Here is a 13,452-nt window from a genome sequence, read left to right on the forward strand (position 1 = left end):
TGGGCTCTAAATATCTTCCAGTGTCATATGCAGGTATTTTATCACAAGTAAAAAGAGTATGCTCAAAAATGAGAAACAATTCATGTAATTAAGGGTTTTGCTTTTCTTTTTTTTGAGACAGGGTCTCATTCTGTCGCCCAGACTGGAGTTGAGTGGCACGATCTCAGCTCACCGAAACCTCTGCCTCCTAGGCTCAAGTGATTCTCCTGCCTCAGCCTCCTGAGTAACTGGGATTACATGCACACACCACTACCAACTGGCTAATATTTGTATTTTAGTAGAGACGGGGTGTCACCATGTTGGCCAGGCTGGTCCTGAACTCTTGACCTCAAATGATCCACCGGCCTCGGCCTCCCAAAGTGCTGCGATTACAGGCGTGAGACCCTGTGCCCAGCCTTGTTTTTCTATTTCTAATAAATAAGGGAATAGTTTATATGATTAGTGTGTAGTAAAGAATCTGACCTCTCCCAAAGAGAGGTCTGTCCTTTGCCCCTGGCTTCAGGGAGGTAGGTAATCTAAGATATTCCTGATAAAAGAGTCTCTATTTAGAGTGGGAGCTTTGGGTCACCAGGTATCATGTATTTGGAGACTGAAATCAACCACATGGACAACCAATCAAGCCATATAATGGAGCCCCAATAAAAACCGAAAATGAAGCTCAGGTGAGCATTCCTTGTTGGAAATACTTCATTCATACTGTCACACACTGATGCCAGGGAAGAACAGTAATGTGTCCTGACTCCGTGAAGAGTGGACAAGGGAAATTTTGCCTTTAGAATACTCCTGCACTCTATCCTATGTGTCTCTTCCTTTGGCTGATCTCAGTTTGTATCTTGTCCCTGTAATAAACCACAACCATGAGTACAAAGCTTTTAATGAATTTTGTGAGACTTTCTGGTGAATTATCAAACCTGAAAGTGGTTTTGAAAGCCCTCTAAACTTATAGTTGGTCATAAGTAAAGGGTGGCCTTGTGTGGAAACTCTGGACCCTAATCTTGTAGTTGGCCCCAACATAATGCAGCTTTAATTAACATTTTCTTTTCTGGGATCACTGGTAATAGAAATCAGAGGAAGAAAAAAAGTTAACACTTAATTTTAATCAAAGTAACCTAGATTTTTTCACAAGAAGGTAGAACACAGACAAGGAACAGATTCTCCCTCAGAGCCTCCATAAGGAACCAACCTTGCTGACCCCTTGATTTAGAACTTCCATACTCTAAAACTCTGGGAAGTTAAATTTCTATTAGCCCTCCAGTTTGTGGTAATTCTCTACGAAACTAAAAAAAAAACAAAAAACAAAAAAACACCACACAATTGGGGGCCAGATGTTACTAAAAGGCTCTAAGTCTGGCCACTTATTTTGATGAACAAATAGTCACCAGAGTTTACAAATGTAACTGACTGTCAATAAAGTCAGTTTTAAAAATTGCACCAGAATGGACTTCAAACAGTAATCAGAAACAAAGTTGCCTCATTTATCTAGATCAAGGGTCTTTTAAGATATTATTTCACTCTGCTGAAACAGAGGTACAGGAATTGAGATTTTTGCAACGTCTTCTTGTGATCCTCACACTTTCAGTATTTATTAGCTTGCTTCAGGCAAAGTGTTTCACATGGTCCATCAGTTAAGAGCCTATTTAGCCCTACAGTTCTGTCATGTATTCTTTGTCCAACCAGGCTATCACCTACTTTTCTTAGTTTTTTGTAGCTGATCTAAACTGTATCCCTCTAGCAGATCCTTATGCTACATCTTCTAATTTACTGTTTTATTAAAGAACCAATGAGTTCTTCAAAATGTGTGTTTTGAAGAATCAGTGACTTTGTCAGAACTCTCCCTGAAGTAAGAATAAATACGCTGAGTGGGCTGGGTGTGGTGGCTCATGCCTGTAATTCCAGCACTTTGGGAGACCAAGGCAGGAGGGTCACTTGAGGTCAAGAGTTAGACACCAGCCTGGGTAACAGCAAGACCTCATCTCTACAAAATAAAAAAAATTAGCCTGTAGTTCTAGCTATTCAGGAGGCTTAGGTGGCAGGATCACTTGAGCCCAGGAGTTCAAGGTTGCAGTGAGCTGTGATTGTGCCACTATACTACAGCCTGGGAGACAGAGACCCTGTTTAAAAAAATAATAATAAAATAAATAAATAAACAAGGGAGTAAAGTACTTATGTTTAAAGGATGGCTTGTGAAAAGCTACAGGTATTCTAAGTTATCTCAATTCAGGAATCAAATATGTCCAAATAAAGCAGCATCCCCTTTTAACCAAACAGAATTATATAGTAAGGAATACTTACACTTGGTGGGCAAAAAACCTCTTGTTTTCCTGCCTAGCTCTTGCCAATATTCTGTAATGCAAACTGCTACAGTCATTTTAAGAGAGTATGAGACTAGGCAAAGAAGACTAACAATAACCCAGCTATCTAATAATACAAGTGTGTCTGATCTGCTGATTCCCATAAATGAAATGGAACTACAGGGCCTGGAACGTGATATAGAAGAAAAACTGGCAATAAAACACCTTTGAAGTGTATTTTACCTCTTAACATGCTTTGACTATTTACATGCCTTGATCATAAATCAGTGCACTAGATATTATGTAAAGGACTATAAATATCCAATTAAAACATGAAAACATTGTATAAAATAATTTCTTAAACCTGAAATAACTTGTCAATAATGTAATAGTAAGTATAAAAGGGTTCCATAATTTTATACTGTTCAATTAATATACCTACATCAACTCCAAGATCTAGAAGGTACTTGACTACGCTGATCATTCCACTAGAGGCTGCTGCATGAAGAGGTGTATAAGACTTTTTATCCTTGCATGTCACTTCAGCTCCATGCGACACAAGCAATTTCACTACTTCAATGTGACCTAAAAATGTGTTTTTGAAGAAAAAAATAGAGATGAGCATATGAAAACTATTAAATATAATCCCAAATATCTTTAAGCAAATTTAAAAAATGCAAAATAGATGATGCATGACAAGTCATCAATGAATCATGTTAACTTGAGAGAGGACAGAAGGAAAATTTTAAGACTTTAGGGGTGGGCATAATGGCTCATGCCTATAATCTCAGCACTTTGGGAGGCTGAAGTGGGAGGATCACTTGAGCCCAGGAATTTGAGACCAGCCTAGGCAACACAGTGAGACCCTGTCTCCACCAAAAATAAAAAAAAATTAGCTGGGTATGGTGGCATGCACCTGTAGTCTCAGTTACTTGGGAGGCTGAGACAGAAGAATTACTTGAGCCTGGGAGGTTAAGGCTGCAGTGAGCTGTGATCATGCCACTGCACTCCAGGGTGGGCAATGGAGCGAGGCCTTATCTCGAAACAAAACAAGACAAAAAAATAGAATTCAGGATAATTTTGGTAAGTGTTGGCAGAGACAATTAGTAATTAAAAAGAATGTTGGCCCTCTGTATACACTAGTTCCATATCTGCAGATTCAACCAACTGCAGACTGAAAATATTTGAAAACATAAAAACAGTTAAAAAAATTAAAAATGCAGTACAACAACTATTTACATTGTATTAGGTATTATAAGTAATCTAGAGATGAATTAAAGAACAGGTTATACGTACATACTATGGCATTTTATATAAGGAACTTGAGTATCTTCTGATTTTGGTATCCAAAGGAGTCTGAAACTAATACCCTAAGGATAACAAGGGACAACTATAATTCCTTTGATTATGTTATTCAGTGATAACCCTGCAATCTATCATCTTCCTTTTGCCTAGATCTTGTTTTTGGTCTAAGGTTAGTTTAATACCTTCATAAATTCTAAAGTTAGCTTTTCATTTCTAATGCTGGCATACCATATTGTATGTACTTTGCTTTATTGTGCTTTGCAAATATTGCATCTTGTTTCTTAAAAATTGAAAGTTTGTGGCAACCCGGTGTCAAGCAAGTCTATTGGCATCATTTTTTCCATCAGCATGTGTTCATTTCATGTGTCTGTGTCATGTTTTGGTTATTCTTGCCAATATTTCAAACTTTTTCAATGTTATTTTATCTGTTTTGGTGATCTGTGATCACTGATCTTTGACATTCCTACTGTAATTGTTTTGGGGCATCACAAACTGCACTCATATAAAGTGGTGAACTGATCAGGCACGGTGGCTCATGCCTGTAATCCCAACAATTTGTGAGGCTGAGGCAGGCAGATCACCTGAGGTCAGAAGTCGAGACCAGCCTGGCCAAAATAGTGAAACCCTGTCTCCACTAAAAATACAAAAATTAGCTGGGCATGCTGGCACACACCTGTAGTTCCAGCTACTCGGGAGGCTGAGGCCCGAAAATCACTTGATCCCTGGAAGTGGAGGTTGCAGTGAGCCAAAATCATGTCACTGCACTCCAGCCTGGATGACAGAGTGAAACTCTGTCTCCAAAAAAGTGGTTAACTTAATAAATGTTGTATATTCCAACTACTCCATTCCCCCATCTATCTCCTCTTCAGACCTTCCTCTTCACTCAGACACAACAGTATTAAAATTAGGCCAAATAATAACCCTACAGCAGCCCCTAAGTGTTCAAGTGAAAGACAGTTGCATACCTCTCACTTTAAATCAAAAGCTAGAAATGACTAAGCTTAGTGAGAAAGGCATGTTGAAACGTGAGACAGGCTGAAAGCTAGGCCTCCTGTGACAAAGTTACCAAGTAGTGAATGCAAAAGAAAAATTCTCCAAGAAAATTAAATGTGCTACCAGTGAATGGACTAATGATAAGAAAGATAAGTGGCCTTACTGATGATACAGAGAAAGTACTAGTGGTCTGGATAGACGACCAAAACAGCTACAAAATTCGCTTATGCCAAAGCCTAATCGAGAGCAAGGCCTCAACTTTCTTCAATTCTATGAAGGCTGAGAAAGGTTAGGAAGCTATAGAGGAAAAGTTTAATCCAGCAAAGGTTGATTCATGAGGTTTAACGAAAAAAGATGTCCCTGTAACAAAAGTGCAATGTGAAGCAGCAAGTGCTGATGTATTAATAGAAGCTGTAAAAAGTTATCTAAAAGATATAAGATTATTAATGAAGGTGGCTACATTAAACAGCAGATTTTCAATGCAGATGAAACGGCCTTCTATTGGAAGATGCCATCAAGGACTTTCGTTGCTAGAGAGAAATCTATGCTTGCCATCAAAACTTCAAAGGACAGGCTGACTCTCTTGTTAGAGGCTAACGCAGCTAATGACTTTAAGTCAATGCTCATTTACCATTCTGAAAATTCTACAGCCCACATGAATTATGCTAAATCCACTTTGCCTATGCTCTAAAATGGAACAAAGCCTGGATGACAACACATCTGTTTATAACACGGTTTACTGAATATTTTAAGCCCACTGTTGAGACATACTGCTCAGAAAAAAGAAGATTCCTTTCAAAATATTACTGCTTATTCACAATGTACTTGGCCACCCAAGAGCTCTTACAGACAAGGAGATTACTGTTGTTTTCGTGCCTGCTAACACAATAGTCACTCTGTTGTCCCTGAATCAAGAGTAATTTCAACTTTCAAAGTCTTATTATTTAAGAAATAACATTTGAAGTGGATATAGCTGCCATAAATAGTGATTCCTCAAAGTAAATTGAAAACCTTCTGGAAAGGATTCATCATTCTAGATGCCATTAAGAACATACCTGGCCAGGTGCGGTGCCTCACGCCTGTAATCCCAGCACTTTGGGAGGCCAATCACCTGAGGTCAGCAGTTCGAGACCAGCCTGGCCAACATGGTGAAACCCTGTCTCTACTAAAAGTACAAAAATTAGCCAGGTGTGGTGGCGGGTGCCTGTAATCCCAGCTACTTGGGAGGCTGAGGCAGGAGAATCACTTGAACACAGGAGGCAGAGGCTGCAGTGAGCCAAGATCACACCACTGCACTCCAGCCTGGGCAACAAAGCGAAACTCTGTCAAAAAAAAAAAAAAAAAAAAAAAAAAGAAAGAAAGAAAGAACATTTCTGATTCATGGGAGGAGGTCAAAGTATTATTATTAACAGGAGTTTGGAAGAAGTTGATTCCAACCCTCATGGATGACTGAGGGATTCAAGACTTCAGCGAAGGAAATAACTACAGATGTGGTAGAAATAGCAAGAGAACTAGAATAAGAAGTGGAGTCTGAAGATGTGCCTGAATTGCTATAATCTCATGATAAAATGTGAACAGATGAGGGGTTGCTTCTTATGGATGAGTAAAGACAGTGGTTTTGTGAGATGGAATCTACTCCCAAAGATGCTGTGAATGTTGTTGAAATGACAACAAAGCTTTTAGAGAAATGACTCCAATTTTGAAGGAAATTCTACTGTGGGTAAAATGCTATCAAACAGCTTCACATGCTACAGAGAAATCTTTTGTGAAGGGAAGAGTCCATCGATGCAGCACATCTTTGTCTCATTTCAAGGAATTGCCACAGCCATCCAAACCTTCAGCAACCATTCACATTGAGGCAAAACTCTCCATTATCAGAGATTGTGACTTGCTAAAGGCTCATACGATAGTTAGCATTTTTTTTTAGCAATAACATATTTTTTAATTAAGAACACTGAAAATTAATAAAAAAGAAAAAACAAAGACATGTATATTGTTTTAGATGTATTGCTATTGCACACTTAATAGACTATAGTATAGCATAAACATATTTTGTAATTAATTAATTATTTTTAGAAACGGGGTCTTGCTCTGTCACCCTGGCTGAAATGCAGTGGTGTGATCAATCTCACTGTAACCTCAAACTCCTAGATTCAGGTGATCCTCCCACCTCAGCCTTCTGAGTAGCTAGGACTACAGATGCATGCCACCACACTGGGCTAATCTTTAAATTTTTTTGTAGAGACAGGGTCTTGCTCTGTTGCCCAGGCTGATCTTGAACTCCTGGCCTGAAGCAGTCCTCACACGTTGGGCTCCCAAGATGTTAGGATTACAGGTGTGAGCCACTGCAGGGAGACTAAACATATCTTTTATATGCACTGGGAAACCAAAAAATCTTTGTGATTTGCCTATTGCTGTATTTACTCTGTTGTGGTAGTTTAGCACCAAACTCACAATCTCTCTGATCTCTGCCTTACTGGAATCGTTTCAATCTGGGGGTTTCTTGGGCTTGTTTCTTCAGAATGTTAGCTCTTTAGAACATGCAGCCAAAAAACTCTTTTTCCTTATAATTTCCACCAGATCTTAACCAACTTAGTTTACTCACCATTGTAACCATGAGGAAAGGGTTGGTTATACTGTGTGATGGTTAACAATCAACTCCCAAATCTCAGTGGCTTAAACAATCAATGTTTTTATTTCTCTCTCAACCATAACAGGTTGGCAAGAGGGCTCTGCTCAGTTACTCAAGGACCCAGGCTCATGTAACTGACATCATCTTGAATGTGGCTGGTCACTGTGCCAGAAAGGGAAACAGACTGCAGAGTTTCCCATCAGTAATTAAATGCTCCAGCCCAGACTGATGTTGCTTTCATCCATTAGCCAAAACTAGTCCTAGGCCCCACTCAACTACATAGAAAGGCCAGGAAGGGGGCCATGTATCTGGAAGGTGAGAGGACCACTATTCTCCTTTCATAACTTGTCACTTTTTGTCAGATTAGATTATACAGTGTTTTCTCCTTCTCCCACAATCCTTCCCACCTCTGTGTCTTTGTTCATGTAACACCTTCTTTATGTGGAACGTTCTGCTTGGATGTCTCCTCCCAATCATTGCTATTATACTAGTCCTTGAAGAAACATGTCAGATCCAACCTTTCCTGACCAACCCAATCAACTCTCTTCCCTAGAAGCCCTATAAGCCTTGTGATGTTTCGTAAACGGAATCATTAATTACTAACTCTTTAATTACTTTTTGTGCATGAATCCCCAAATATATACTTTCAGAAGGCTGTTCTACTTCTTGATATGTTCCACAAGGCCAAGAGCAGCATAGAAAACAAGCATCCAAAATATATTAGTTACATTGAAGAAATTGCTCGTGATGTCATTTTAAAAATCCCTTCATAGATAATGAGTCTATAAAAAGTTAATAAATGAGGCTTTCAAACAGAGGCACCCCTCCCTCAAAAAAATTAAGCCAAGATACTGCAAGACGCATAAAGAACCAGGCAGATTCAGTTGTTTATATATAAATTATCAATTAAAGTAGATATTTACAGCCTCTTTCCCCCCATTTTAATATGAAAAAGAAATATCTACTATTATGTTTCTAGAAAAGAAATAATGCAATGAGGTGTTAAGGTAATTTTTAAAAATCAATTAAAAAATTTTTGAGACGGTTTTGGCTCTGTCACCTTGGCTGGAATGCAGTGGTGCGATCACAGCTCACTGCAGCCTCGACCTCCTGGGCTCAAGTGAGGTGTGTGCCACCACACCCAGCTAATATTAATTTTCTTTTTTTTGTAGAGAGAGGGTCTCACTATGTTGCCCAGGCTGGTCTTCAACTCCTGGGCTCAAGGATCTTCCCACCTCAGCCTCCCAAGTTGTTGGGATTACAGGCATAAGTGACCATGCCCAGCCCATGGTAAAAAATATTTATTCAGTACCTTCTGTGTCAAAGTCATCACAATAAAGTAATTTGAAGCTAAACTTGGCTGAATATTTCTAAAAGTACTGAAAGCAACAGGAAAGATGAATGTGTAAAGGGACCTTGACAAAGGTTGATGGCAGGAGCAAGCACAAGGTGGGAAGAAGAAAATGATCAATTCATTTGGAGATGAGGTGGGGCGCTAGGGAACAATGACAAATAATTCAATAGCATAAGTATAAGAGGTAGGGCCTAAAAGGAAATTAACGGAGCCTCAACCAGGAAATGGAAAGCCAGGGCTAATAAGGAAAACTGGGATAAATAAATTACAAGACTACACATAATCCCCAATGTCTCTTACACTAACATTGATGAATTCTCTGAATATAACCTAGAGGTGACAATGCTTGTACTTTAGGTTTGTCTGTAAGAGAGGTGACCAGTCAATAGCTTCTTACTTTCACATATTTAACTCTTTAATCCTGCATACCTAGAATGGCTGAACAGTTTTAGAAGCTATATGTCGATATTCATCTTATTCTGTGCTTCAGGGAAGGAAGAGACAGAAAAAGGATAATTATAAATCTCTGCCTAGTTATGCTCATAAATTAAATGGGCAGTGCTATATGGTACTATGGTTTAAATGTGTCCTCCGAAGTTCATATGTTGGAAGTGTAATCCCCAAGGCAACAGTGTTAAGAGGTGGGAACTTTAAGAGGTGATTAGGCAATAAGGGCTCTGTCCTCACGAACATATCAATGCTATCTTGGGATCGAGCTCCTTAAAAAAGATGAGTTTGACTCCCCACAATGTGGTGCTTCAAGAGGGCCCTCACTAGATGCTAGTGCCTTGATCCTGGACTTCCCAGCCTACAGAACTGTAAGGAAATAAAATTTCTGTTCTTTATAAATTACCCAGTCTATGACATTTAATTTTAGTAGCACAAAATAGACTAAAACTTGTGGTGAGGTCCAGGAAACACAGAATATCTTTTTCAACCTCAACTGAGATGCCTAAAAAGTGACACTTAGCGGGTGAGAAACAACAGAGCCATTCTGGCCCCCTTGAAATACACACATTCAACTATTCTGGGAGCTCAACTACAGGCAACCTGCAAAATCCCCCTGGCCTTCAGTTGTATGAAAACAGTTGTTTAGTCAAGCTTAATTCTTAGTAGGTAAAAACACTGATGCACTCTGCTTACCATGTAAGCCTCTTAACGTAAGATGTACAGTTTTACATCACATAACCTGGTTGTTCCTGTCTTGAAGAGTAAGCCACACCAGAATATTCAGAAAGACCAAGATGAAAAACTACAGGCTGTGAGAAAGGGACCTTAAGATGCAATACGGAACTTGCTTCTGGCTATTACCTTCAATTAACACAAGAAAATGGCCCAGTACATAACTAGCGGCACATATCTTTGGTGTAAACCACCATACACCAAGCTTTCAGCTTTAAAAATAGGGACATTTGCAGAAGTTCAAGACCAGCCTGGTCAACATGGTGAAACCTCATCTCTACTAAATATACAAAAATTAGCTGGGCGTGGTGGCAGGCGCCTGTAGTCCCAGCTACTCGGGAGGCGGAGGCAGAAGAATCGCTTGAACCTGGGAGGCGGAGGTTGCAGTGAGCCGAGATCACGCCATTGCACTCCAGCCTGGACAACAAGGGTGAAACTGTCTCAAAAAAAAAAAAAAAAAAAAAAAAAAGGGGGGGGGGGTGTGTGGGGAGGGGACATTTGAAAAGGATGTTACATTTTTTTTTTAATCTTCCTTTACACTCACACTGAAGGTCAGAGCTGCAATGCAATATGGATTCTCGGGCTTCTGCCCAGTGCATGGCTACATGGTCTCTACAGTTTCCTAGTCATGCAAGTGTGATGGGAGAAAGGCTGTACTTTAGCTGCACTCAGTTCTCAGTGCCACTCCCGGAGAGAGCAGGACCCTGTTTAGGGTGATGACCCCATAGTGGGTAGAAACTCTGAAGTACAGAGGGACTCTGGATGTTGCCCGCTTAGAAAGGAAAGAGTTTGCCCCAATGGAGGTCAAAAGCATCACTCCACAGTCTGAAAGGGGAGGGGGAGAATGCACAGTCTTCTATCACCCAGGGAATTAAATTAAATTCACTGCAGAACACAGTTGGGATGTGTTCACTGAAAGCAGAGGCATACATACACAGGGTGGCAGAACCGCTGCTGGCCAAGGTGAAGGGGCCAGAGCTGTATGTGGAGAGGTGGAAGATGCTTCATGAGCTAAATCCCAATCCCAGGGGAGCTGGTAAGACCATGGTCAACTCAGTGTTCATGACAGACACACTTAACCTTATCTGCTATTTGGTGAGAGCAGGACACGCAAAAGTGTGTTGTGAGGTATGGGGGAGAACATATGGTATTGGTCCCTGCAGTCGCGGCAGTCAACAGATCCTTCAGCAAAGGGACATCAACTACTATTACCTCATACTATGCCACAGTTAACAACCCTAGATCAAGTTTGGCATATACTTCATTCTGAAACAAATGTTTCCTCTCATGCCTTTGACAGAAGAGAGGCATTGGATTCTCGATGAAGCCAGGAAAATTCTGTTGAAAACGTCTGGAGGCACGTTTTTTCCCATTTGAGGGGAAGAAAGTTTATTTTTACAAACAAGCCCAAATCCTTGTAACAGATATGTGGAAAGTATTAGAAGAAAAAGGAGATGGCTGCTTTAAGACATCTCCAGACCAGGCATAGTGGCTCACACCTGTAATCCCAGCACTTTGGGAGGCAGAGGCAGACCGATCACCTGAAGTCAGGAGTTTGAGACCAGCCTGGACAACATGGTGAAACCGTGTCTCTACTAAAAATACAAAAAAGTTAGCCAGGTGTGGTGGCGGGTGCCTGTAATCCCAGCTACTCAGGAGGCTGAGGCATGAGAATCGCTTGAACCTGGGAGGTGGACTTGAGTGAGCTGAGATCGTGCCGCTGCACTCCAGCCTGGGTGACAGAGCAAGACTCTGTCTCAAACAAAAACAAAAACAAAAACACATCTCCAGTATTACATGTTTGCTAACTACAGATTACTTCAGGTTCTTGCTCACCATGGACCTCTGAAATACTCTTACGAACTACTGAAGAACCTTTTCGAAGGAGAAATACTGTCATATGGGGATAAGCAAGAGTGGGAAAATCAGCATGCTCACTTTGGTTGTGGTGAGCTGATCTGGGATTGCCTTCTGAGGCTTATTGAAAAGGGAACGAAAAATGACATATTACCGTCTATTCCCAACTTCATCATTTATCTGCTTAATTCTAACTATGTTTTTCTTTTCTGTGGACATACTGTTAGAAATATTGAAGGCACTTTAATATTTTCTTCAAATATCATTTCTTAAAATTAATCATGCTTTATGTGACTATTCTTCGGTGATAATATTTCATCTATTCAATTGATATCATTTCTCAAAATGTAGTAATTTTCTGATACAAAGGAGAGAGATAAGGTAAGGTCTCTGATGCATGAATGCTGTTGCTTTTGTAAAAAATCACTGTTGACACCTTATTTTAAATGTTTTATTGGTAATGAGAGTGGGTTTTGTACATCACAATCTTCAATTTAGTATACCTATGTAGAATTTTTTTTTCAGAGTAACTATACTGGAATTGAATAAAGATTTTCAAAACTTTTCTTAAAAAAGAAAAAGGATTCTACTGCTTTTGGTTGTTTTCATTATAGGCATAGGATTTCCCTGGGCCTTGTGGGTATCTATAACTGGTTTGAAATATACAGACATGTTATGTATAGACTTATTTATCTAGAAAGAGTGTATTATAACTGGTTTGTATCTATTTTACATATTATACAGTTGACCCTGGAATAACAAAAGTTTGAACTGTGTGGGTCCACTTATATATGGATTTTTTTCTACCACATGTGGTTCAAAAATATAGTATTCAGGGGATGTGAAACGCTCATACACGGAGAGCCAACTTTTTGTACATAGGGGTTCCCCATGGCTGACTATGGGACTTCCATATGCAAGGATTTGGGTATAAGCAGGTGGTCCTGGAACCAATCCTCCACATATATGAGGGATGGACTATATAGTTCTTGAGTTAATATTCCTCCATTGAATCTTCTGTTAATCTTTTATTTTTAAATGAGAGTCAAGAAAAGACAAAACCAAGAACAGAAAGTAATGAGGATAGGCTATGGCTCTTAGAAAAGTGGTTAACTAGATGTCTTTGTAATCAGGTAATGTGACTGGTAAATCAGGGAATGATACAAATATTACACAGAAAACATGTCAGTTCATATGTGCTTTTTCCCACCCAGGAGTTAAAATAGCAGAAGCACAGGATTATAACCTCTGGCAGGAAGAAAAAAAGCCCTGAGCTCTATGGCTGCAAAGTGAGTTCTTTCAGCTGTTTTAAGAACCTTGAAAAATGAATGTCTACAACCATGGCTTCTTACCAGAGGCACAACCCCAGCCTTATAGGACTTTAAGGATTTATGGCAAGGTGTACTTTCTCTATACTTAGAGATCTACCTTCCTCGGCAGTTTTAGCATCCAGAAGCGAGCATTTCTATTCTGCTGTTTTTGTGCATTTAAAAATATCCTGTAATAGGCTGATTTGTCTCCCCGGCTCTGCAAGAACCAATTAATGTTTCTGTTAGTGCTGTGGTCACACGGTTGCATAGGTTTTGGGTGGTCTACCCCAGGCCTATTATTCCCATGAGCTCTATTAGTTTTAGAGTACAATTTTGCAGACTGTAAGATTTTTCAAGAACATATATATTATGTTACAGCAAAAAAGTCTGTATTCCAAGCCCCAGTTTCTTTCTATAAATTTACTATTATAGAAATCAAACATGGTAATACACATTTAACCCACTGGTTGGCCCAAAATAATAGGCTTCTTAATGCATCTTTGTTACTTTTACCTTATATTCTCATAC

At 39.6% G+C, this 13,452-nt stretch overlaps 2 protein-coding genes across 36 annotated transcripts in view; one reads left to right on the top strand and one right to left on the bottom strand.

Moving 5' to 3' along the window:
- The window catches only part of BTD (biotinidase), a 121,156-nt gene extending 120,288 nt beyond the window's left edge, over positions 1–868 (top strand). For both annotated transcript variants that reach the window (NM_001370752.1, NM_001407379.1), the window contains exon 5: positions 122–868. In NM_001370752.1, the coding sequence (NP_001357681.1) occupies positions 122–201 (80 nt within the window). In that variant the 3' untranslated portion in view covers positions 202–868. The remainder of the gene's footprint in view (positions 1–121) is intronic.
- ANKRD28 (ankyrin repeat domain 28) overlaps positions 1–13,452 on the bottom strand; it is a 192,579-nt gene that overhangs the window by 54,413 nt on the left and 124,714 nt on the right. For all 34 annotated transcript variants that reach the window (XR_007095653.1, NR_146111.1, NR_146112.2 and 31 more), the window contains one exon: positions 2,734–2,876. Coding sequence is in view for 30 of the 34 variants with exons in the window: in XM_047447807.1 (XP_047303763.1) it covers positions 2,734–2,876 (143 nt within the window). In the remaining 4 variants the exon portion in view is untranslated. The remainder of the gene's footprint in view (positions 1–2,733; positions 2,877–13,452) is intronic.

The sequence above is a fragment of the Homo sapiens genome, chromosome 3, assembly GCF_000001405.40.
Source record: "Homo sapiens chromosome 3, GRCh38.p14 Primary Assembly".
Classification (NCBI taxonomy): Eukaryota; Metazoa; Chordata; class Mammalia; order Primates; family Hominidae; genus Homo; species Homo sapiens.